The following is a 27,444-nucleotide window of genomic DNA, read 5'->3' as shown; positions in this document are numbered from 1 at the left end:
CCTAGGCTTAGGTTTAGCCTACTGCTCTTACACTACAAACATGCACAGCATGTTATGTACTGAATACTGTAGGCAAAGTAACATAGTGGCAAGTATCTTTGTATTTAAACATAGAAAAGATACACTAAAAATACAGTATTATAATCCTACAAGACCATGTTGTATATGTGGTCCATCATTGGCAGAAATGAGGTTATGTTAGGTATGTATATGTAATGTGTCACTGAAATCAGCATCCTAGGGATGAAGAGCTAGTCCTTTGGTTTCTAAATGGTATCAAAGAATCTCTCTTTGCTAACACAATTTAAAGCCACAAGTTGGCCTCACTTACGGAAAGTGAATGTGTGCACATGGGGACCTATAGGGGGAACTCATGATCTGACAGGGAGCAAAGAGAATAGGTTTTTATTGAACACGTTGTCATGTTCTATAAACGTGTGTTATTAGGTGTCAGAAAATGGGCCAGATACCTTTAGGCTTTATGCCATTTAAATACCATCATAGCCCAGCATTTTAGGTGTTGACATCACCACTTTACAAAGAGAGGTTAAACACCATGTCCAAGGTCACACCTGGGCACACAGCAGATCCAGGTTCACCTCTGTACCTGCAGACTCCCAACTTGTGCTGCTTCTATAGTGTCAGCAGTCTCCAGCAAAAGCAAACCTGGCAACATTTTGGTGCAGTTTATTTATTTGTGCTTACTACTTGGCTCCTTAAAAGATGTTTTAAGATTTCCATGCAAAACAGATAGAATCATGTGGTCCACTCTACTTACTGATGTATAATGCTGATTTCTTTTGTCTTTAACCAATTTATGACAATGAAAAAAATGCAGTGAAGAAATGTACTTCTCTGCTATGAGTGGAGAAAACCTCATAAATAACACCAAAGCCAAGAGTTTACCCACTCTACGTATATCTATTACATTAAGATCATTCCTTATCATTCTGTCTCTAAACTCTTGATGTAACTTGACACTCTATGGTAGCCTACATACTCGATATCATTTTTTACCTTTTATTTTACAAACCACCAAACCACTGTGTAGCTCACATTAACCTAGTGGGACTTTAATTTGTAATAGACATATGTCTTTTTATTCTGAGCTTTTTTCTTGTCTTCACTGAACACTGAGCTTTCCCAGCCTAATTTGGTTGTGTAAATGGAATCAAGCCCAATTCTATACATAATTGTCTCTTCAGAATGAAACTTATTCATTGGAGAGCTAACCCAAGTGCAGGTTCCTGTCAGCATGGGGTGATTACCCACTACCTGTGCAGTGAAGAGGGAAGTCCTCTCTGCCATCAGCACACTGCTAAGTGCTGCTGTTTATTCCCTGGGTACAGTTTATCATGCTCTCTGAAATTCTCTGCCCAGAGTATTCTGTTCCAGTTTGCATCCTTGGTACTGTCTCATAATTATACATTAAAATTTATATTTCAGTCTCAGTAGTCTATGAAAATGAAGTTACTGAGTATGTGTGTATGTGTGTATACACAATATTACAAGATCTTTCTATTGTTGCTTTTCTCATCCTTAAGTCATTGAAAAAAAGTCATTTGATATTAATATTCTTCCATCTTGTCCTTAGAGAGCAAGTTCCTTCTGGACAGAGTCATAAGATATGTTGCTTCATTTTCCCACAATAAATGAAAACCCAAACTAAAACACATATTTTTATTCCACATGTGAGGATTTGTAGCTATGTAATCCCATTTAAAATGGAGTGGGTGTGTATTAAGACAACTTTTAACATGGTTTTCCCACATCTCATTATCTAGAACTAGTTTCAAAGACCTCCTCAGGAAAGAAGGAAAAGTTGTATGAGGACAGGAGGCTTTGTGAAGAGCACTGCATGTGGTTTTTGGCCTGGGTTCCAGAGGTAACAGTGGGCTGAGGGCCATGGGAGGACATGGAGTACACACAGTGCCCCTTCTTTAGTTAAAATTACTTGAGATAAGAAATTGAAATCTTATTTTTATGAGAAAACAAACTTGAGGTCTTCAGGAATCAAGTAAGATTTGCATACATTTAAAAAGTAACCACAAATGTTAGAAAAGAAAAAGTGCACTTTAAGAGTTTCACCTTCAAGCTTATAGCCCCCGAGCCACAAAGGAACAGCATTGTAAAGAAAATTGGAAGGTCTGTGCTGAATTTGCCAGGAAAAGCTAAATGAGTATGTTTACATTGGTATATAGAAAGGAAGATTTTCCTCTAAAATCAATATTGATTTTTTTTTAAAATTACCTTTTCATCTTCACTTTCCAACAGGTTCACTCCTTGCCAATGCCACCATTTCCCCACAATTCCTAGTTTGGTATCTTTCTACTCTCCACTAACTTAAAGAATAGGAACCTCATTGTAAGTATTAATACCTGGAACAGGTTCTGGACCAAGCTTTTTCCAGGTATGCTGGCTTAACATATGAAGCTGGTGAGCCATATACTCAGGAGAAAGAAATAAAAATGGGTCTATCCAGTTATTAAATCACTCAACAAATATTTATTGTTCCTAGTACTGTGTGAGGCATCAGGGATATAACAGTGTGCATTATAAAAATATAGTCCATGACATTTACAGTCTAATCGGGGAAAAAGGCATTAATCAAAGAATCACATAAACAAAGTGCAATCCATACAGTGATAAATATTACATAGGAAAAGAACAGGCCGGGCGCAGTGGCTCACTCCTGTAATCCTAGCACTTTGGGAGGCCGAGGCAGGCTGATCACCTGAGGTCAAGAGTTCGAGACCAGCCTGACAAACATGGATAAACCCCATCTCTACTAAAAATACAAAATTAGCCGGGTGTGGTGGCGCATGGCTGTCATCCCAGCTACTCGGGAGGCCAAGGCAGGAGAGTCGCTTGAACCCGGAAGGCGGAGGTTGTGGTGAGCTGAGATCACGCCATTGTACTCCAGCCTGAGCCTGGGCAACAAGAGCGAAACTCCGTTTCAAAAAAAAAAAAAAGAAAAGAAAGAAAAAAAAAAAAAACAGGGAGCCATGGAGGTCACATCGTGGTGCAAGGTGACCTCATGCCTTGCACAGGTCAAGGAGGTGCAAGGAAGCCTCATGCCTTCACAGCCTGTTCACCAGCTGTTCATCTAGTTTGGGGTGAACACTCCAAAGGACTGGGGATTTACTCTATTGAGAAGCTATCACACATACCTACTTCAGTTTGCTCATACCATACCCAGTTTTCCCAAATATTCTTCTATATGGATTGATTTCCAACCATTGTTTTCCATGTATTTTATCTTACAGCAAGAAGCCCTGCATTCTATACAGACTTCTCAGAATGTAAATTAGTATGGAAGCATTTTTAATACTAGCTCAACTTACTGTTTTGCACTTACTTTGCTCATCGATGGGAGACTGATTTTGCCCTAATTCATCTCGCATAATTATGTTTTCAGTAAGCTCTGTGGCAGCTTTGAATGAAAGAGAGAAACTACTCATTGTGTGATTCTCCAAGCTAAGATTTCTAGTGGAAAGCCGTGAACCCTTCATTCTTCTTTACTATCTTTCAGAAAGATAACAAGGAGGCACAATATATCAGTATTCATGGAATACATATGTATTATTTATCTTCTATCTGCCTCCAGTCTCCTGATATCACTGATAAAAGTGCATATAGATGATGTGCCAATACATTTTATTTCAGGTATGTGCTCTATGGCTGTTGCCGATAACTCACCCAGTGTGGCCCCATGGTACATTATCAAGGCCAGAATCAATATTTTTATAGATAAACGATTACATGCAATCTATAATATTTACATAAAGCAATTTTAGTGTAATTTAAGGTTGGGAGAGAATGTTAATGTCTAAAAACTGTTCAGTGATCAAAAGAGGGGAACACAAGTCTTAAAATAACTCTCTTGATAAATATCTTGGACGTTAAATTGTCTTTTCTTGATCGTAACCACAGTGTATAATCCAGATCCTCTCCACGTCTTTTTTTTTTTTTTTTTTTTTTTTTTTTTTGAGACGGAGTCTCACTCTGTCGCCCAGGCTGGAGTGCAGTGGCGTTATCTCGGCTCACTGCAAGCTCCACCTCCCGGGTTCACGCCATTCTCCTGCCTCAGCCTCCCGAGTAGCTGGGACTACAGGCACCCGCCACTACACCCAGCTAATTTTTTGTATTTTTAGTAGAGACGGGGTTTCACCGTGTTAGCCAGGATGGTCTCGATCTCCTGACCTCGTGATCTGCCCACCTCAGCTTCCCAAAGTGCTGGGATTACAGGCGTGAGCCACCGCGCCCAGCCTCCATGCCTTTTTTAGAGAGAAATTTTGCAACAGAATTCAAGGGTCATTCTTTGACCCACTAATTCTATTTGGGATGCAATTTTAAGGAGAGATATGTCTTTGCATTGTGATCATGGCTTTATTTTCTAAGTTTTTACCAACTTTGAAATAACCTTTAACTAGGAAAAGCACATATGTAGTTAAGTCAGAATTATCATGTCATGGTAATACCAGGATACACAAATAGCACTGAAAATGCCAGCATTGGAACAGATTTTATACTACAAGGGCAAGAAGATAAAAGCTAACTGTATGCAATACAGAAAACTTTCATTGTCTAAATGTTTGTTATGCAAGCACCCTGAATTTAAGAGAAGTCATTTTATACAGAGAAATAAAAGTTGTAATAACATGAAAAGTCACGAATGACCACTTATAAAATTAATCCCTACCCATCCCTGCCCACTTTCTCCTAGTATCTCTTCTCACATCAACTACCGTATCAACGTCTAAGTAATTAATTACTTGCTGATAGCAGAAAGTAATATGGTGCCAATCTATAATTAGATTGTAAAGCTTGGGAAGTTGCAGATTTTCATGAAGTCAAGAAAAATTATGCAAAAAAAAAATAGTTCATCAAAAAGGTCACAGAATAACGAAAATCTAACAGAATTAAGTCAGTTAACAAGAGAAGATAGAAATAGTGTGGTCACGACGATGGGAACTTCAAAATCTGATTTGACAGACATCTGGTTCTGGACCAAGATTTAGTGTTCCCCTTTTCTACTTTTCCCACTAAGTACAGCTAAAACCCCTGGACATTACATACAAAAATCACATAAGCAGTTTCTGAAAAATGGGACAGGACAAGGTAGACTTAACAGGGTCCTGGAGCCTCAGGAACTACATGGTGGTGAGTTCCCTGGGGTTTATTTTTGCCTCATATGTTCCAAACCTGGTGCTAGAGAAACCTGCAAATTGGAAACGGCAGCAGACAAAACAAGCCCCAAGTACAGCCTGCTGTAGCAAGGAGCCCCATCCCTACACTTTTACAAACACACCAGAGTAAAATTTTAAAAGACCAAGTGTTGTCCGTGGAGACCAGCGCGGGGATCCCGGACTTTTATCCCCAGCCCTCCCTCTCTCCTTGCTGGGGGCAGAGAAGGCTAAATGTTAAATATAATTTCACCACCATGATCAGAAGAGGACCTGAGGGGAATGGTAGGAGGTAACTCTCTCCCTCTCAGCGAGGTTGTCATCAGCAGAGGCCTGGGGTGGGGGTAGGGGAGGGTTCTAAAATCTCAACTCTGCCCTGCCGCGACGAAGCAGCGCTCTTTCACTGCACCCCCTTCCTCACCTTGTCAAAATACACACACAGTATACACAAAGTACACCTTTACATCCACCTGGCTGTCAAGACACAGTATCCCACTATTCCCATCGGCTCAGTGTCAGAAGAGGCTTACTATAACAGAAGATTTAAATACGATCCAGGGTTTCATAATGTAATATTTCAATTGGCCAGGATATAGTAAAAAAATCATTGGTCATATCGCGTACCAAGAAAATCTCAACTTGATAATTATTTAAATAAAAGGTTAATGAGAAGCCCTTAGGAAAATTAATGAACTCATCAAGTATTTTTTGGAAAAAAAATGACCCTCTATGATCCTGCTGCAAAATGCAAGCCTAAAGGGAAGGATATAATGTGGTACAATCAAACAATTTTGCTGTAACATGACTATATATGCCCCACCCCCAAACTGTTATTCTTTATCACTTTGAAAAAAAATATGCATCATTCAAATAGTGAATAATATTAAATTTAAACTGAACTATGCAAAATATGCCTAGTTCTAATAGTAAATGAAATTAAACAAACTGAAATATAGTTTTGATAATTAGGTTTATTTTTTTCAAGATACAGTTGCAATAAATTATTTTTACTATTTAATTTGAAACATTTGTTCTTTTGAATATTGATTCCTTTTTTAAGCGGCCTTTTTCTAAAATCATTCATCCTAAAACAAAGAGAATCCCTTGTAAACAAACATGGGTCATTTTTCTTGTGCAAATGTTAGAGCGTACATTTTAAAGTCAAGAATGAATATGGAGTACAATTTTTTCTAGCAGATATTTAAGAAAAAGATAGATATTATAACGTTATAGTACTTTTTATCAAAGAAATTGAAGTGATTTGACATGATGCCTTAAGTTTTTGCCCATAGAAAGTTATCAAGAAAAATGTAGCAGTTGTAAGTGATAAAATATAATTTTATTTCTGTTTGACAAATCAAAATGAAATGCCAAATTGTTATCTCGCATTTAAATATGTTATATTTAAATGTTGGCCAATTGTAGATATGTGTGAGCCATACAAAATAATCGGTTTAAAACCGTTATCAACATTATCTAAAATATTATTTTTATACAAATATAAAAGCCTACATATTTACATATTTAATGATCACCATTTTGGAAGGCACCAGAGGAAGTATTTATGAATACTAATGTTTTATGCTTGTATATCCTAAAAGTCTTCACATAAACTCTCTTTTAATGACCTTTTAAAGTTCATCTGTTTTTACATATTTAGATATTTTCCCAAATGTTGATAAAACTGTTCACCCAAAATCCTCTGGCTTAAAACAACAGAGTAAGTGTACATGCATTATTATTCATAAAAGTTTAAGCCAAATATTTATATTTCAGAAGTGTGCTTTAAGAATTACATTTTTTAATATATGACACCTAAGAGATTGATATTTTGATATTTGTAAACTTTTAGACTCATTATTTTAATCTATATAAATATCTTCTGATGTGTCCAAACATTTACAATTTGTAACTAGAACCATTCCAATGTTAATAAACACATACTAAATCAAGGAAACACCAAGATGGCTAGTGAAGACAGAAGAGTTTCCAGTATCCTAGGTTTTCCTGTAAGCTTATAACTTTCAAAGAAAAAGGTGAAGGTGGCATTCTCCTCTGATGTGGTGGCATTTTCCCATTCCAATCTGAACAAAGCCCAATTTGGAAAACCCAAAATCAGCCACAACAAAAGGGTTCTGCTGAAAAACTGGCAGTTCATAAATAAAAATGAAATGTCCAGGAGCCTGGCTAGTTGGAGATGGTTTTCTGCTGATGAAAATTCCAACGAAATTAAAAATCAATTTCAGTATTAAAAACTATACCAATCAGTTATCCTATGTGAGAGCATTACAAACATGTACATTCACCTGACTATATGAGACTCTTCCTCCATAAACAATTTTTTTCATCAGAGAAAGAGAGGGAAAGAGAGAGTAGTGAGTTAGCTGCAAGGCTACTAGGTTAGTTTACAGTTACTGAAGGCTTCAAAATGTGTCAAGCACTGTCCTAAATGCTTTTATATAGTTTCCCCTTTTAATTAAAAAAGCAGCCCTACAAAACAGTCACCATATAGCCTAAGGTTAAGAAAATCAGGAGTTAGAATGTCTGTTTTAAAAATACTTGTCGACCAGATAGTCTTAGAATTAATTACTTCTGCTGACTTCATTTATAAAAGGGACATAAAAATAGCACCTACTTTCACAGGGTGGAGGAGGGTACTGAATGACACAAAGCAGCGGAAAATGCTTAGATTGTTGCCTGCATCAGAATAACCAAAAAACAAATGTAGCTATTATGATGATCATCAGTCTACAGAGGAAGAAACTTGCTTTATTTCTTTACATAGAATTATTACTATTTTCTATTTTGTCATGAGTTGATTTAGAAAATTTAGGAACAATAAATTTTCTAGGAATGTGCCCATTTCATTTATGCTTTCAAATAGGTTGACATAAATACAATAGGTTATCCATGTATTGTTTAGGCTTTTTAAAAATTTCTGCTAGGTTTGTAGAATACTGTCTTTATTTTCATTCCTCATAATATTTATTTGTGCCTTCTTTTTCTTAACTGAATTGGTTTCACCAATAAAATTTTTTTTCTTTCAAAAGAAAAAAAATTCTGTTTTTCTGACTCTACCTACTGTCTGTGTATGTTTTTAGTTTATCAATTTCTACCCTTATGTATACAAATTATTTCTTTCTTTAAGTTCATTCAATTGTTGTTTTCTATACCTTCAAAATTTGATCCTTTATGTCTTTAATGTTCAGCCATTCTTCTTTATTATTATAAGCATTTCATGCTATACATTTTATGCATTACTACTAATTTGCTGTTGGTGTGTCCCATCTATAATTGTAAGATACATATTGAAATTTCTTACTGTGATGGGTGTTTCTCAATACTGTTTTGTCAATGTTTGCTCTGTGTCTATTTAAGGTTATTTTATAGGTACCTGTTGTAAGCTTAGCATTATAGCTTTCTGATGGATTGAACATTTTATCATCAATATATGGTGACCCTAATAAAGACTTCTGAGGTAATATATGCTTTCTAATATTAATTGTGTTTTACAGGGAATTTGTCAATTTCACAAACATTTATGACTTTTTTTAATATGTGTAAATCTCTAACAGTATTCTTTCTTTCATTTTTGATATGAGGGATCCTTTCTTTTTTTAAATTGATCATTCTTACTGGAGTTTTATTTTATCGATTTTTCAAACAGCTGTTGGCTTTAATTTATTGTATTGTTTATTTTCCATTTCCCTAATTTCTGCACTTATCTTATTTATTTCTACTTAATTTGAGTTTTTTTTTTCTCATCCTTCTCTAGGTTCTTGCGGTAGAAATGTAGACCACTGATTTGAAATATTTTCTTTATTTCTTAAGTAAATTTGCAAACCTATAATATTTTCCTCTTTATCTGTACCCCCAAAATTTGAATGTATTGTGCATGCAAATCATTCAGTTCCAAAATTTTTAAATTTCTCATCTACTTCTTTGACCCACAGGTTACTTAGAAGTGTGTAATTTTACTTCCAAATATCTGGGACTTGTCTGATTGATACCGATTTCTAAATTACATGCTTGGTGGACAGAAAACAAACTCTCCAGGATTTCCATCTTGAAACTTATTGAGACTTATTTTATAGCACAACATATAGAATATATTGCAGAGTTTTTCCTTGAAAAATAATGTGATACGAGAATTCTCGTGTGTAGTGTCCTATAAATGTCTATTAGGTCAAGGTGGTCAACAACGTTTTTCAAATTCTCTATATCCTATATTTCTGTCTAGATATTTTTTCAGTTACTGAGAAAAGAGTTAAATCTGTAGTTTTTTTTTCTCTTTCCTCCTTTATTTTTGTTAATTTTGCTTTGTCTTTTATTCCTTCTCTTTCTCGCTGTAAAACTATGTTATTAGGCACATAGACTTTTATATCCCTAGAATAAATTGACCCTTTTATCAATTTGAAATGCTCATCTTTTTCTCTTGTAATTCTCGTGATCTTAAAGTCTATTTTGCCTTACATAAAGCAGTCAAGCCAGCTTTCTTATTTTTATTGTAAGCAATAAACGTGTGACTCATCTATTTCCATTTATTTACTTTCAACTTTTCTGTTGTCTTTACATTTGACATATGCCTTTTGTAGCCAGCATATAATTAGGTCTTGTTATTTAAGTAATCTGACAATCTCTGTCTTTTAATTGGTATGATAGTCAATTTATATTTAATGTAATTATTGATATGACTGGATTTAGGTTTATTATTTATGTTTTCCTGTTTGTGCTCCCTGCATTTTCCTCCCTCTGTATTTCTTTGCCTAATTGTTGTCAGTTAATAAATTATTTAAAATTTTCATTTAAATTTTGTCTAGGCTTTTTGTCTATCTTTTCACAGATTTTTTAGTGGTGCTCTAAGGACTACAATACGTATGTTGTACCAGTCTATTTAGCATTCTAATCTTACTTGATATATTTTGTGCCTCTATTTCTGTAAATTCATGATTTCTTAATATAAAAAAAGTCTCAGTCATTGCCTCTTTTATATATTTATTCACTTCCATACTCTATTCTTTTCACCAATTAAACTCAGCTGATCTTACGCTACCCTTTTTCTCTCTAAATGCTTCTGTTGTATTTTTATGTCTTTTCTCTCTGTGCAGTCTGTTGCTGATTTCTTATGATTACTCTTATTATTTCTTTAATTGTGCTTGAACTCATATTCACTGTTATGTACTAAACTTTTTTTAATTTCAACAATTTGCATTTCATTTATAAAACTGATATTGCTTTTCAATTGTTGTTTAGTTTTTCTATTATACATAGTTAATAGTATGTAAATGATAAATTCTAATGTTTTAAAACTTTAAAGGTCAAAATCAATTATTTATGGACTTGCTCACACTTAACTATGAAGGTTTGTTTCCTTTTTCTCTTTTTTCTTTTTCTTTTCTTTTTTTTTTTTTTTTGAGATGGAGTCTCGCTTGGTTGCCCAGGCTGGAGTACAATGGCCCAATCTCGTCTCACTGCAAGCTCCACCTCCTGGGTTCACACCATTCTCCTGCCTCAGCCTCCCGAGTAGCTGGGACTACAGGCGTCCACCACCATGCCCAGTTAATTTTTTGTATTTTTAGTAGAGACAGGGTTTCACCGTGTTAACCAGGATGGTCTTGACCTCCTGACCTTGTGATCCGCCTGCCTCGACCTCCCAAAGTGCTGGAATTACAGGCGTGAGCCACCGTGCCCATCCTTACATACTTAATTATATTTAATTTTAGATATGTTGGTTTATTTTAATTTTCAAAAATCACACAGGCCTAAACTGGGATTCTTGCCGGCTAAAAAATTTGTATTTGATTCTACACAGGCAATGTGCATGTGGTAGTGTTGAACACATACCTCTTTTTAGGTTTCCTGGCTTACTACAGAAATCTCAGTTTCATGTCCTTGTTGCTCTAAGCCTCAGGTCATTTCCCAATTGCAGTTCTGGTAGCAGTCTTTGCTCACAATGAAAACCTACTGTGGGCTAACAATTCAATGCTCAGATTTCTGACTTTTGCTTATTTTTATTTCTTCTTCTATTTTGTTTTAAATCTGCCTGGATGGAGAGTTCTCTTACTTGCTGTGAGGACTGTTTTGTTGTTGTTGTTCTGATCAAGCTATTTAATACTTCTGTTTCCATTTTCTCACCTGTAAAATGGAAGAATAATAGTACTTGCATCTTGTGGTCACATGCAATAAATACGTGTGTAGGTGTGTGTAACAAACACACACACACCAATAAGTCGATCGATATTAGCTATTATTATTCATGTTACTATTATTATTATTGTACTCTTAATAGTAAATATAAAACTACAAAATGATAAGCAATGAAATGGGGTTCTATTTTCAGCTTATTCTGCCACAATGTAAATAAAATGCAGTTTTTAGTTAAGCTGCATATATTTAGATATATTTAATGTTTATTCCATTAAGTAATGCAATATCTTACTTTTCCATAAAAATACAAAAAGTATGATATATCAGTAGAGACGCTGCTAACATTACTGAAATTAACCAAAAGGCACATGACACTTGCATTTACAGCACTCACCAAGGTGCCTATTTCCATCATGTGCTTGATGTTTTGAAAACACTTTGACTTTCCTATCACAGAAGAATTATTCTAGATCTCAAGAGTTAATTAACTCATCTACATTCTGACATCTAGTGAGATGGATGGATCACAGTCTATCAGCAGGTGAATATATGTATAGCAGATACTTTGCCTCAGTAAGTAATCACACCGTATATTAGACCACAAATATTTGAGGGGAAATGTTAATGATATACTCTTGTTTGTAAAAGAATTCTTTTAAATCAACTGCCTCATCACCAATTACAGTTAGGATGTAGATACTTGTCTAAAACCATACTAAGCCTCCAGCCATTGAGCTTATAAAAAATGGCAAGACCATAGCTTCCTAGTGCGTGTTAGCATCCATTAAGCAGGGAGAGGATAATTGAAACTGAGTCAAGAGTTTTCCTTTTCTTCCTTTCCTACCTTGCTTCCTGTGTTCCAAACACATGTCGTAGGTTACAAATACATGTAAAGCCTTAATTACACTTAGCATCTGGCAGCTGTTGACTTACAGAGAGTTGTTGAGTCACATACAGCCAAAGTCAAAAAGGAGTTCAAGAATAGAAGGCAGAAGCTGGCTCAATAAGGTTAAAAAAAATTCTTATGTCATCACAGCTGAAATACTACACCATCAGCACTTGTTATATACATGGGGTGAGTGGTGCTATAAGTAATCAGTTTCAGCAATGCCAGAGACTAATTCTCCACTAAAATATATCATTCCCTATGTGGTTAGAGCTATAAACCAAAGGACCTTACAACCATTACTATCAACACTTAATGGATGTATTCACATATAATAGAGACAACAGCTTCATGAGGATTTCAGCATATCCAGAGGCATCGAGTTATGACTTTTTAAAAAAGGTCTTCACACTATCCACTGAAAACTGTTGACAGAGTTAAATGTGCTAAATAATACTGTTCATATACTGCTTATTACAAAAGATGTTTAGATGAAAAAAGTCTCCTGAAAAAGTGACAAAAAGAACTTAAGGCCTTTAACTCTGGCCATCATTTGCCACACAGTGGCAATTTTAGGAGTAGAGAATTATTAGAAATAATAGCCTTGGTCTTAAGAGGGATAGATGTCAAATTACAAATGTCCAGTTACAAAAACACAATAAGAAAGATACAATGAGTGCTATATGTTGTTTATAGACACATACATAGCAAAGAGATAAGTTTGGACTAGAAAAATATAAATCAAATTCTTAATCGCAATTATTTCTGGAGATGGAGGGAGAAGAATGCAATTAGGAAAAAAAGAGGATTTGAGGTAAATTTGACAAAATATTAACACTCGTTAATTACAAGTGATACTCATTGCTCGCTTTCTTCTCTGTACTTTTCTATGACTTTCCTTAAAAAAATCAATTTAAAAATTTTGAAAATAAAAACCTTGGATAAGTCTATCCTAGTTCCATACTTTAAATTATTTGTGATATCATAATGTTTTCTATTATGTCACATCACTCAGCATGTCCCTGCTCATATGTTCAATTACACTACATAGAAATACCCCCATTCGTATGTCTTTTCAAGTTCCATTCAATTTGGGCTAAAGTTATGGAGCAAAAGTACACATAACCAAATCACAATATGACTGATATACTGTCAGGAAACCCACGCACTTTGTTCCCTAGGTGAGAGACTGTGTACATCTGTGGTTAAGAATATTGTAGAAGCGAGTAGCCCAGAGTTTGAATTCCTATTCCACTACTTATGGTTTGATAGTACGCACTCTAATTAAACTTCCACTCCCAATCTCCAGTCTTCTCATTCATGAAACATGCTTAATAATACCTATCCTCATAAGCCTATAGAGATAAAAGTTATCTGTGACTAGAAAACACTTAGCAGTGTAACCAGAATAGGGGGTCCTGAATAAAATATTTTAGAAAATTGTGCAGAGTAATAATTGTAGTAGAAACAGCAGCAGAACCAGTAGGAGAAATTTTCAGGTTCTTTTTCCTGTAATGAATATTCATTCTTAACATACATTGTTATGTCATTATCTCACACCATAAATGGAGGATACCATGAGCAGAAAGACAGCCTACCATATGGGAGCTGGGAATACATGAGAAGAGACATAGAACCTAAAAGAATGCGACCCTGGGCCGGAAGAACAAAGGCAAAGAGCCTTATTCACTAGTACATCCATTAACTCATTTGACCAATATTATTGGTGCTTACTAAATGCTAAGCCTGGTTCTAAGGGCTTGAAATGTATCAGCAAACAAAGTAGATCAAGCCCTTACAGAGCTTCTATTTTGGCTGAGATAAACAGACATTAAACAGTTAACATAATGTCTAAGTATCTGACACCTTTTTTAGGGCGATACAGTGCCTTATCTACAGTAAGTACTTGGATATAATGGGTTTAATTTTTTAAAAACTTTTATTTTAGGTTGAGCAGTACATGTGCAGGTTTCTTGTTTGAGTAAACTTGTATCACCGGGGTTTGTTGTACAGATTTCTTCATCACCCAGATACTAAGCCTAGTGCCCAGTAGTTCTTTTGTCTGCTCCTCGCTCCTCCCACTCTCCACCCTGAGGTAGACCCCAGTGTCTGTCGTTCCCTTTTTTGTGTTCATGTGTTCTCACTGTTTGGCTCCCATTTATATGTGAGAAAATGCGGTATTTGGCTTTTTGTTCCTGTCTTAGTTTGCTAAGGATGATGGTCTCTAGCTCTATCCATGATCCTGCAAAGGGCTCATATGATCTCATTCCTTTTTATGGCTGCATAGTATTCCATGGTGTAAATGGTGCTGGGATAACTGGCTAGTCATATCAGAAGATTGAAACTAGACCTCTTCCTTACACCACATACAAAAATCAACTCAATATGGACTAAAGACTTGAATGTAAAACCCAAAACTATAAAATCCCTGGAAGGCAACCTAGGCAATATCATTCTGGACGTAAGAACTGGCAAAGGTTTCGTGACAGCGATGCCCCTAGCAATCGCAACAAAAGCAAAAATTAACAAATGGAATCTAATTAAACTTAAGTATGTAATATCTTAAAAGGTGGTAGGTACTATGAAAAGAAAAAAAAAATAGAAAGTAGAAGAGTGCAAGGCCATTCATGAATACTTTGAATAATCTGATCCAGGAAAGCTCAGTGAGAAAGTGACTTTAAAAAAACTACTTAAGTAAATTGGGAAATTTAATCTTTCCAATACCTGCTGCATGAGGAAGCCAATGGTGCAAAGATCTCAGGAAGGAGCATGCCTGGCACATTCTAGGAAGAGCAAGGGGGACTTTGTGGCTGGAATGAAGGCAGCAAAGTTACAACCTTAAGAGAAGACATCAGAGAGTTAAGGAGACAGTTGGGTCCTGTGTGGCTTTGGAGGTGATTTTAAGGACCTTGGTTTCAGTGAAATAGCCATTGCATTGTTTTGGGAGGGAAAGATGACATCATCTAATTTACATTTTAAAAGGATTGCTCTTCTGAGATTTGCTGCAAAGAGTAGTAAAGGAATGTGGCAGAACCGAATCAAGGAGACCACTTAAAATACACTTTAAGATTGCATGGGAAAGACGATTACAGCCCGTCCGGATGGAAAGAGTGTCGGGGTGGGCAGTCTTGAAATTTGCTGATGGATTACACGCAGGGTGTGGTAGAAACAGAGGGGTTAGAAGTGACATCATTTTTGGATTGAAAACTAAGAGAGAGTTACTATCTATTGAGATGGGGTAGGCTGTAAAAACAGCAGGGTGTGTGTGTGTGTGTGTGTGTGTGTGTGTGTGTGTGTGTGTGTGTGTGCAGATCAGAATTTCAGTCTTCGAGATGTTGAGTTTACTTTGGGTGTTTGACATATAAGTGAAAATGCTGATCAGTTAGCTGAATATATGAGACAGGTCTGATATACGAGATACAGATTTGGGAGTCATTGCCATGTACATACTATTTAACATTGTGGAACTGGAGAAAATCCCCAGTTTGGAATAAATGTAGATAGAAAAGAATATCAAGAATTGAGCCCCGGGTCACTTTCCTATTAAGAGCTTGGAGTGAAGAAGAGAAAGCAGTAAAGGAGTATGGAAAGAGGGACCATAAGACCACAAGGGTCAAATAACTATAAACAGAAAAAAAAAAAGAAGAAAGGAGTGACCTGTGCAGTGGGAGGAAAGCCACGAGTGTATGGTAGAATGGAATCTAAATGAAGAAAGTATGTCAAAGAGGAGGGAGTGATTAACTGTTGCAAATGTTGCTGATGGGTCATTAAGAGAACTGAGAATGGACAATTATGATGTAGCAACATAGTAATCATTGGTGACCTTGGCAAGAGCAATTATGTGGAGGGGTATATGTGAAAGTCTGATTGGATTGTGTTTATGAGAAAATGGGGGAGAGTAATCAGAAGCAATGTGATAGACAGCTCTTCTGAGATTGGCTGCAAATTGTAGTAAAGGAATGTGGCAGTAACTGGTAGAAGAAGTGGGTGAATGTAAGTCAGGGAAAAGAACAGCAGGTTTTTGTGCGAGAAGGAATCAAAGAATGGTTCATTTAGGAGACAGGCAGGTAGAATTCCTGGAGCAACCTCTAATAGACCAGTGGGACCGTGATGTTGCACACAGGTGAACGCTTTACCTGGGATAACAGTAGAAGTTTTTCACTTAGAGTGATAGGCAATAAGGTGGAGTATGTGGGCACAGAAGCTGGGAGTGTGTGGATGGTAGATGTGGTTTCGAAATTCGTTTCTGATTGAAGATGAGGAGGAGGTGCTGGAGGCTTAGAAGCAACATCTGGAAGAGTGAGAGAATGCATAGACCAGGCGTTTTAGTACAACTGAAGAACAGAATCAAAGGACTACTTGAAATTTAATAAACTTCAAAAACATATGAGAACAAATTTATTATCGTACACACATAGCACTCAAGTCATCATTCACTAGCCTTGCCTTGATTCACATAAAATAATTAAATTGTGGTGACTATATTGAGTTTTTAAAAAATAAGACAATCTGAAATGCAATGTGGAAACACTGTCCTTAAGAAGGATGGCTCGGCCGGGCAAAGTGGCTCACATCTGTAATCCCAGCACTTTGGGAGGCTGAGGCGGGAGGATCACCTGAGGTCAGGAGTTCCAGATCCCGTCTCTACTAAAAATACAAAAATTAGCCAGGTGTGGTGGCACATGCCTGTAATCCCAGCTACTCGGGAGGCTGAGGCAGGAGAATCGCTTGAACCTGGGAGGCGGAGGTTGCAGTGAGCTGAGATTGCGCCACTGAACTCCAGCCTGGGCAACAAGAAAAAAAAAAAAAAAGAAAGGATGGCTCTTGCATAAGGGGGAAAAAGTCAAAGCAACGAGGGCTCTGTGCTCCATGTGGACCATGTTATTCCTGAAGTATAAGTTATAACTACAAATTCTGAATCCACAGTAATCAATTAGTATTACGTTACAAATTTCTACTATTTTCAGATAAGGATATTCATCTTTAAGACAAGGCCTTTTTCCTCAAAATATTGGAATTCATACATTTAGATTTAAAAAAAATGTCGACTTGAACAAAGCTTTCCTCCCAGAGCCAACTTATCCATTGGACACAATAGGCTCAGTATTATAAGGCCCACAATACTTTCAGGCACCCACGGAAAAGCTTTAAGTTCTATGAAAATCAAAAGAAATAAACTTTTAGGTCAGAGAGAATGTTTTAATATACAAAAGCAATACATTTGCTTTCATATTAAGGCAGTGGAGAAATATAATTTTAAATGTCTTTTTATGGAGAAAGGGGTTGATGAAGACAAACATGCCTAAGGCCCATGAAAGGTATAATGCAGCCATGCTTCCTCCATAAAATTCTCATGTGTATGGAAGGCCAAAATCACTCTGAATCAAAACACCAACCTCCTCAAAGGATTCTTATGAGAAATGGGTACTGTGTTCTATTATTGATATCATCCTGGAATGCACAAACAGTGTACTCCCCTGCATAAACATCAAATACTCTGGCCATTTGGCCATTATCAGAGGTGAAGCAACAGTGCCTGGCCTCCTCTCAGGGGTTCTGGCAAGGCATACCCAGGGCTCAATAACTGTTTAGTCATTGCAAGCAACTTTCCTTGCCTTTCCTCATTTTTTTCAAAATATCTCCCAGAATCCAGTGACTCTGCTATCTTCTACTATTTAGCATTCCGAGAGGAGGTTTATCAAAGAGTTTTTCAAAGCCCACTGCCTTAGGATGCAACATCCTCCATGGGAAGTGACAAGAATTACCTTCTCTGAGAATCAAAAAACAGGGAGGTTTCTGGGCTTTCCAGAAGTCACAAAGCATATCTCTGACAGAGCTGAGAATAGAGATGCAACCCTCTTGCATCTTCCTGCCTTTTTTTTAATTTTAATTTTTTTTTTTTTTTTTTTTTTTTTTTTTTTTTTGAGATGGAGTCTCGCTCAGCCACCCAGGCTGGAGTGCAGTGGCCCCATCTCCATCTCAGCTCACTGCAAACACCGTCTCCCGGGTTCAAACGATTCTCCTGTCTCAGCCTCCCGAGTAGCTGGGATTACAGGCACCCGCCATCATGCCCAGCTAATTTTTGTATTTTAGTAGGGACGGGGTTTCACCGTGTTGGCCAGGGTGGTCTTGAACTCCTGACCTCAGGTGATCTGCCCGCCTCGGCCTCCCAAAGTGCTAGGATTACAGGTGTGAGCCACGGCACCCAGCCATCTTCCTAGCTTTAAAAAAAAAAAAAAAAAATTAAGGGTCATTTCTTTTAGATTGCTTCTTTTTTAAAATGCCAACTTTTCTCAGCAAAACTGCTCCATCTCTAGAATGACGGGCAATTAAATCCAATCTGACAATTGTTCTCTATTGAGATGTTTCTCTTTGGTGAGGTTTTCCAGGTGCTTTATGAAAAACATTTGCACTATCTGGCACTTTGTGAGCTTTCATCTGAGAAGCCACATTTCCCTTATTAAAATAGCTTTGCTTTCAAAGGAGACAATGGTTTTGTTTGCTCCCTCGCGGCTCATGAGCAGACCACCAGGGAAATTGCTGTGTCACTGGCACAAGTCTGCTATTCCTGTGTCACAAGGGGTTAGGAGCCTCATTAATTCCTGTGCTCTCATTTCAGATTATTTAGGGATCAGCAGCAGATTATTATTTCAAACACTTATTTCTTGCTTCAACTTCCTCTCTCTCAGAATTGGCTCCAAATCACTTTCTCTTGTGCGCGGTGTGTTCAATCTCCATTCGGATAAGAAAATCAGAATGGTCCTTTCAGAAAGTCTATCCATCAGCATTATCAGAAACACACCCCACAAAGGCTTTGGTTGACTTTCCTGCATATCTGGCAGGTCGTATGCTTCTTTGTACTTAAGTCTCCCCAAGAATAGTTGCCATTATACTGCACACACAGACCCACGGGCACCACTGTACGTGTTTCAGACTGCTTCGTTCAATTTGGCTCCACAAATAGACAGAAAGGTGTGCTAAGAACCAACTACGGAAACAGACAGAAAATCTGTGTCCTTGCTTTTGGGGATCTCATAAGCTAATAAGTAAGATAAACAGAAATATGCAATTACAATATCGTATCTTATTCCTGATGGTTTATTTTCACCCCACCTACATTGGCAGGGGTAGCGTAGGGGAGAGGTAACTATTTCTTTGTCATTTAGAGAGCCTGTACTCAATGGCAAATATGTGTCCTTAATCCCCTGAGGCTTCCGATTCTTTTGAAAGTAAAAGGATGGGATGAAAAGGATGGCATCATTCATTCATTTCTTCATTCAACAAACATTTCTGGCTTAATATTTATTGATCGTGTGTTATGTGTCAGACTTATAAACACTTTACATGAAAAATATCAGAACAAAACTATGAAGAAGGCATACAGCTCAAAAGAAAGAAATAATATTCCTAAGGCCACATAACGAGTAGGTGGGGAAACTTCAATTCAAACATGTCTCTTTTTTGACTTCAAAGGCTATATACTCTCTCACAAGCCATGCTTTCTAGAATATAAAGACTTTCAGCTTTAAACTTCTATGATTAACTATCTCTAGCCAGGGACTAGACATAAAGCCCCTTTCCCATTAGAATACTGGAAGATGGGGGAGGGTTTAGGGGAGGGGGTGAAGGGAAAGCTTGTAGAGAATATATAGAAAAAGGGCAAACAGAAATGAAACTGTTTTTTATAAGACAATGGTTTATGGACTCCTAAATTTTATTTTCTCCCAACAACTGTTCAAATCACTGACCTAATTTGTGGATTATTAAAGTGAATTAGGCTTATGCCTTTAAACATTCTTTTTGGATAAAATCAGTGAGCCATGAGCACAAAAGCAAGAGATCTAATTTAAAGAAGTAGAGAATTGAGTGGCCCTTGGTCTCAGGAACTGTGACACCATAAGGACACTGACTTGTTGACTTGGCATCCTCTCCCATCACGCCAGATCTGCCTTGGCAGTTCCGGCTGGTCTTTACCCATGTAAACCCAGGATCTAGTGTAGTAGTTGCTCAATAAACACACAGGTAGTTTGCTTAATGTATAACCCAGTTAGACTGAAAGCAGAGAAAAGGTCGTAGTTCCATTCATCAAGAATGTATACTTTATTCTATGTTTCTTTCTTCTTCATCTTCCATTTTTCTTCTACACATTTATTTATTTTACAATATGCATGGGATACTAGTACAGATAAAAATTATAAAACAGATTTCATTCATTTGGTTTCAACATCTTGGCAGTGCTCTCTCTCCAACCACTCCGAAAATAACATCTCCAAAAAAATTTTCTTTTAAATAAAACACCATATACGGCCGGGCGCGGTGGCTCACGCCTGTAATCCCAGCACTTTGGGAGGCCGAGGCGGGCGGATCACGAGGTCAGGAGATCGAGACCATCCCGGCTAAAACGGTGAAACCCCGTCTCTACTAAAAATACAAAAAATTAGCCGGGCGTAGTGGCGGGCGCCTGTTGTCCCAGCTACATGGGAGGCTGAGGCAGGAGAATGGCGTGAACCCGGGAGGCGGAGCTTGCAGTGAGCCGAGATCCCGCCACTGCACTCCAGCCTGGGCGACAGAGCGAGACTCCGTCTCAAAAAAAAAAAAAAAAAAAAAAAAACAACAACAACAACAAAAAACACCATATACTATTCACTGCCATCATGTGGTCACTTGGACGGACCCAAAGCCTTAGATCAGATGAGAAATGTATGTAAAAATTTGTGTATTTTTACTTGTCTGCTTTCTACCAGGTTTTATTTCAAGCAATAAACTTTCTGCACCCCCACCACCCCCCTGCACATTACAGAGTCAAGTTTCCTGTGTTACACCAATTTCAAAACGTTCAGCACCATTTATCCCTTTTTTATAGTTTATATAAAGACATGGCTCCAAGACCTCAAATAACAAAAAGTTTATTTATGTATTTATTTTTGCATGGCATGCGCTGATGAGCCAGTCTGCTCAGAAAGCATTTCACAGATTAGAGGCATGAGTATGGTTTCGGGCAAGCCTCCCTCATGTTTCTGCGCATTGGCTGATAAACACTTCAAAGTAAACCGCTCATAAATATGAAATGAAAAGCCGAGGAGTCGTTATGCGCCGCTTTGAGATACAAATCTCTTTATTCCCTTCTGAAGTGGGGTTTGATTGACGTAATGAGTCATAGATCCTGTCCAGGGACACATTGCCTTTTCCCCTTTTTCTCTGGAGACAGGGAGACTTTAAAGAAATCCACTTCAGAACTTGGTGATAGACAGCTTACTTGAAAAAATAATAAAGTTGAATCCTATATTAAATAACTTATTATTTTGCGTTAATGCCGACTTTGACAACCATGACATATGTCAGAGTTTCACTACACAACCTCACAAAGACGTTATTAGCTACAACTCTAAGAAGAAGATTGCCAAATTTTTTATAAAAATTGTGCTATCATCTCTTTTCTCATATGTATTGTTGCTATGTAGATCCTTTGTCTGATAACAGAAAATCACTACGTAAATTAATTCGGAGCAGAAGCCTAAAATCCTGTAAGCCCAAAGGCTAAAGGGAATAACACAGATAATGGGGGAGAACAATTATTGTAAATTTATTTTACAAATAAATGTCTTCCAAAAAGGGGAGGATCACGTGGCAAAACTTTCTATGCAAAATAGATTGAAGAATAATCAAAGACTCAATTTATTCTTCCTCATAAGTTTTTAATAATTATCTGCTTACCTGAAAAAGATAAAAATTTCAACAAGGTCACGCAATTTTTCATTAGATCACATTTTGCAAATTCAAATGACTTACAAAATCAAGGCAGTTAACATAAAGAAGCTAACTCAGCCATTGTAGAAGGCAATAAGGAACAGTGGGGGCCTGTGGAAAAATAGGAAAGAGTGCAGGTCCCTTTGGGAAAAGCAGCTGCTATTCAGCTCCAGTAGACTTCTGTCATTTAAGAAGGTGGAGCTTATGTTGCTAGATCTTGCAGTGTTTCTAGAAAAGCCTAAAATCTAGATTTTATGTGATATTTACCTATTGATAAATGATAGCAAAAAATAAAATTTGAAAAAGGACAGTCCAAATTAAATAGGCTTTTAAGTTGCCAGTCTTCAGTCTTTGCTCTAGATTTTCTTCACTCATCACTTAAATACACTTTTATTAAAAAATAAAACAGGAGAGAGAGATATTAAAGACCTCAAATCAGAGAATGTTGAGAGAGGGACTCCTAAAGCAATTTCATCCAGTGGTTTGAAATTGTGGTTTTATTTTTTTTTTTGTTTTTTTGTTTTTGTTCCCAGATCCCTGGGGACTCTGCGATAGCCTCCAGCAGGTGAGGACCTGATTACAGCTGCCCCTTAAATAATGACTTGGGGCCAGCAAACTTTTGAAAACAGCTAATTAGGACCATCCCTTCATTATTAGGCAAATAAACCAAGTTATTCACCATTCCTTGTCCCCCAATATCAAATAGCTCCGATGTCCAAGGCTCCATTCAGCTTCCGGTTTTCATCACCTCTATATGTTCTGCTTTGAGACTTAGCCTGAGCAACAGAGAGAACTAACTGTCCACCGGAATTAGTGCTTCCCTTTCCATAGAACTGTCACTGCAAAGTGGCTATGCCCTGTCAGGAGCTATTGCTCAGTGAACCCATAGCATCTAGGTCAGGCCATGTGTCTAGTTCTTGTGAAGCAGAAGTAATGTGTGTCATTTAAAAACAAGAGAACTTAAAAACCTTATGAAATTTCTCCATGTTCTCTTTCCCTGATGATGCAAGTGTGGCTTCAAGATGGTGGTGTCACCAGAAGAAAGACGCTTTGTTGTCAGTCACTACCTGGAGGAGATGCACCTAGTCATCAGCATTATTGATTTCAAATTTCATGGGAATAAGAAATTAATTGTGGTTGATCTTATGTATATATATCCCATATATATATATCCATATATATCCCATATGTATATATCCCATATATATATAATCCATATGTATATATCCCATATATATATCCATATGTATATATCCCATATATATATATCCATATGTATATATCCCATATATATATCCATATGTATATATCCCATATATATATATCCATATGTATATATCCCATATATATATATCCATATGTATATAATCCATATATATATCCATATGTATATACCCCATATATATATCCATATGTATATATCCCATATATATATCCATATGTATATATCCCATATATATATCCATATGTATACATCCCATATATATATATCCATATGTATACATCCCATATATATATCCATATGTATATATCCCATATATATATCCATATGTATATATCCCATATATATATCCATATGTATATATCCCATATATATATATCCATATGTATATATCCCATATATATATATCCATATGTATATATCCCATATATATATATCCATATATGTATCCCATATATATATATCCATATATGTATCCCATATATATATCCATATACGTATCCCATATATATATATCCACATATGTATCCCATATATATATATCCATATATATATATCCCATATATATATCTATATATATCCCATATATATGGATAGGTTGTCTATATATTCCATATATATATGGATAGGATATATATATCTTGTATATATATAGATAGGATATATACATATACCCCATATATATGGGACATACATACACACACACACACACACACACACACACACACATATATATGTATATGGGTTTTCATAATTCCATCACTTCAATTTATCCCAAATGATGCAGAAAGTATTGAATTGTTTGAAGTTGTGTTTTATAGGAAAGGTATACAACTAAGTGATCCAAAAAATAAATTATTGACTTCCTATTGTGAGTTGGCTGATGCCAATAACTGCCATTTAGTCAGACTCATTTTTGTATCAAACAAGGAGGACCAGGGAAATTAAGTGACCCAAGGGAAGGACATGAAAGTGGCCAGTATAAGAACAGGGACTCAAACTCAGATTTTGGAAGCTCCAAAAAAGTTCTCACTGCCCTATTCCACCTTTTGCTGGAGCATCACGTGTTGACAACTGACTATTAAAATCTGTATGAGTCCATATTGATATAATTTGACACCATTCTGATATGCCACATGTTAGATTTCTGATTATTTGTACTATAAATTTAAAAACTCTGAAAAATTCAAGTATTCCTAAATATTCAGCTGGACATAAATAACTTGCTGACCAATATGTAAAATTATAATTTTTCAATATAGGCAATATTGTCTTTCAATACAGCAATTTTTGATGAGATGTCTTCATGTATATAAGAAAAGAGATGATAGCATAACTTTTTTAATGTGAAAGAAAATAACTCTTACCTAAGCTAGTATCAGAACACTGTTAGGCATCAAACACTAACACAATCACCAAAATTAAAAAAGTAACAGGCTATATACATATATTTACATATACACACACATATACTGCATATTCTGTGTGTGTACATATACATATACAGATCATGTATATATACAGTATATGTGTGTGTATATATAGTAATTACAATAAGATAATTGAGAAATAAGAAAAGAGAATTACTATGTATCTATATATACATGCACACAATAATAACAAGAATAATTTTTGAGTAATCTCTAGTTTCTAGTAGGATCCACAATTAGCTCACTCTCAGACTAGGAGGGATGGTGTGGCACACTGCAAAGAGGCTTTGGAGTCAGAATAAACTAAGTTCAAATTCTGTAGCTTCTTAGCTCTGGGACCTTGGGTATATTTCCTGGTCTCTATAAATCCCAGTTTTTGCATTTATAAAATAAGGATAATAATAGCTACTGTATTCAGACATACAGACTATAGCTCACATCTGAGGAAACTACACCTAGATCTATTAGATGACGTGCACCAACCATGACAAGGTGAGGTTGAAGTTGAACCAGTTGATGCCCGGAGCTGAAGGTGGGAGCAAGTGAGCATGAGCAATCCTTTTGGAGTGATGGCAGTGGTCCAAAATTGGATTGTGGCAACGCAACTCAGAATATAACAGCTTAGAAATTTACTAAAGTTAATTCAATTGTACACTTGAAGTGGGGGAATTTTATAATTTGTAAACTATACCTCAATATAGCTGTGAAGAAACTAAACCAGTTGAATTTAAGTATTTCTGTGTATGTAGGTGAAAATTGTACCTGTAAAAACCAGCAAACAACAACGGGGTCAACTCTTAAGACTTACAGAATATGCAATAAACTAGTTGAAGTTAATGCAATTCTCTGAGATCACGAACTGAAAGAAGATAGGAAATCTGACGATGCCAAGAAGGCAGTATTATTGTAACGGCATGACTTTCATTTTGACTCCATTGCCAATTTTAGTGGCTGAAATACTCCTAGAATAATAGTTACTCATTAATGTTGCTTTGGAAATCATGAAGGCACAAGTCCCCTGGGGTTAAAACACTCTATGTTAACCATCAGGGTAAAAAGAATAGCCTTTCTAAGAATAAATCTCTACCGGAATACTTTTCCATCTTGAGGTTTTTTAATCCTGTAGACTGAAACAGTTTGATTAAACGGGCTACACTGGGATCATGTATTCTATCTCAGTCTAGGAAGAAACAGCTGTCAGTCACAGTGCTGTCCTCCTCCCACAGTCCCTGGAGGACAACCTAAGCAAGCTGTCGCCAGGATAAGCGCCCCTTGGAGAATTGCCGGCTCGTCAATGGCCCACAGCTGAAAGCAGCCATTCTACTCAGTCGGTCTATTAGCCCTTTGACTTCCTTTCTTCATGCACAAATATAAATATAATGCTTAAGTGAATGATTACTACTGTCCCAGAAGAAATTTCAATTAAACACTCGAAATCCTTAGGAACGGTACCTAGGGGGATTCCCAAACAGAGCTGCAATTCGTTATGTATTATTAAGTTTGGCCTCGGATTGTAAATCTGTTTTCTCTTAACATTAGCTGGGGCTTTCAAAGAACTGCCTCCCGTATGATTTGAACAATTCTTTCCCAAACTCCGAGCAGGACTACTATAATAGAGATGTTCCCGAACAACACGCCGTCTAGTCCAGTTTAAAAGGCATATGGGAACATTCCCTTGCCTGCTGGCAGAATTTTGGATGCGATCACTTCTCTTCTCTCTTCTCAAAGGGCACGGTGGACATGAGGGACTGTTTGGTGGTTGCCCCTGTAGATTCTTTTGGGTAATGCTCTGTGTTTCCATCTGCCGTAGTCTTGTGACATCACCTGCATGAAAGCTAATTACCATGATTCAATCTCCATGAAGGGAGAAGGTACCTTGTCTAATTTATTTCTATGTTGTCAGCACCTACAACAGTACTGGGTATATAAATAGAAGGTTTTTCATAAATAAATATAAATAGATTGATAGGACAGGAGGAGGAAGAAAAAAGGAAAGAAGGGAAGAAGGGAGGAAGGGAGAAAGAAAGGATAAAAAAATAAAGTAGGAAGGAAGGAAGGATGGAAGGAAGAAGGAGGTTTAGAAGTGGATGTGAGAAATTATTTTACCATTTCTTTGTACCCCATTAGATTTTCCAGAATGCTCTCACCACTGCAACCCTAGTACCTAGTAAAGTAGCTGGGACATGGCAGATGACAAATACATTATTTTAACTTCATTTCCTTGGTAATAAATCTGATGTGTTTTCTATGCCAATGAAAATATTTGCCAATGTAGACTACACTTATCGATAAGGAAGCTGTTGGGAGACAATTCTCTAGGCTTCTCCTTTGTTGCTGCACATTTTGCAAGCAGAGGCACTGACTGCTTTTGGTCTGGACTATCTTTTCAGAGCAAATTGCATAGCAAACAGCCATAGAAGACAAAGATAGTGCCTTCTACCATAGCAAAGCACAGGTTTTATTACAGACTTGGATGATCAAGATATTATCTGTTCTGGAGCAAAGGAGCAGGCATGCGTACTATCCATTAAAAAAGATTCGGTCTTTTTATACACAGGTTTTTTTTTTTTTCTCTTGTAATTCACCTCACTATGCACACAGGTATGATCTGGCTTTTCTCGTGTTTCTCTGTAAAAGCTGGAGCTTGGTGATGGCTCATGCAAATAATCACAGCACTTTGGGAGGCCAAGGTGTCCGGATTACTTCAGCTCGGGAGTTTAAGACCAGCCTGGGCAACATGGCAAGACCCTGTCTCTACAAAATATAAAAAAATAGCTGGGTGTGGAGGCGTACACCTGTAGTTCCAGCTACTCTTGGGGCTTGAAG

General features: G+C 36.8%; 1 protein-coding gene across 9 annotated transcripts in view; it reads right to left on the bottom strand.

Moving 5' to 3' along the window:
- Positions 1-27,444, bottom strand: part of TENM2 (teneurin transmembrane protein 2) — a 1,285,129-nt gene that overhangs the window by 889,827 nt on the left and 367,858 nt on the right. The window lies entirely within an intron of this gene.

The sequence above is a fragment of the Homo sapiens genome, chromosome 5 (assembly GCF_000001405.40).
Source record: "Homo sapiens chromosome 5, GRCh38.p14 Primary Assembly".
In the NCBI taxonomy this organism is placed as follows: domain Eukaryota; kingdom Metazoa; phylum Chordata; class Mammalia; order Primates; family Hominidae; genus Homo; species Homo sapiens.
This window is presented reverse-complemented; position numbering and strand designations above follow the sequence as displayed.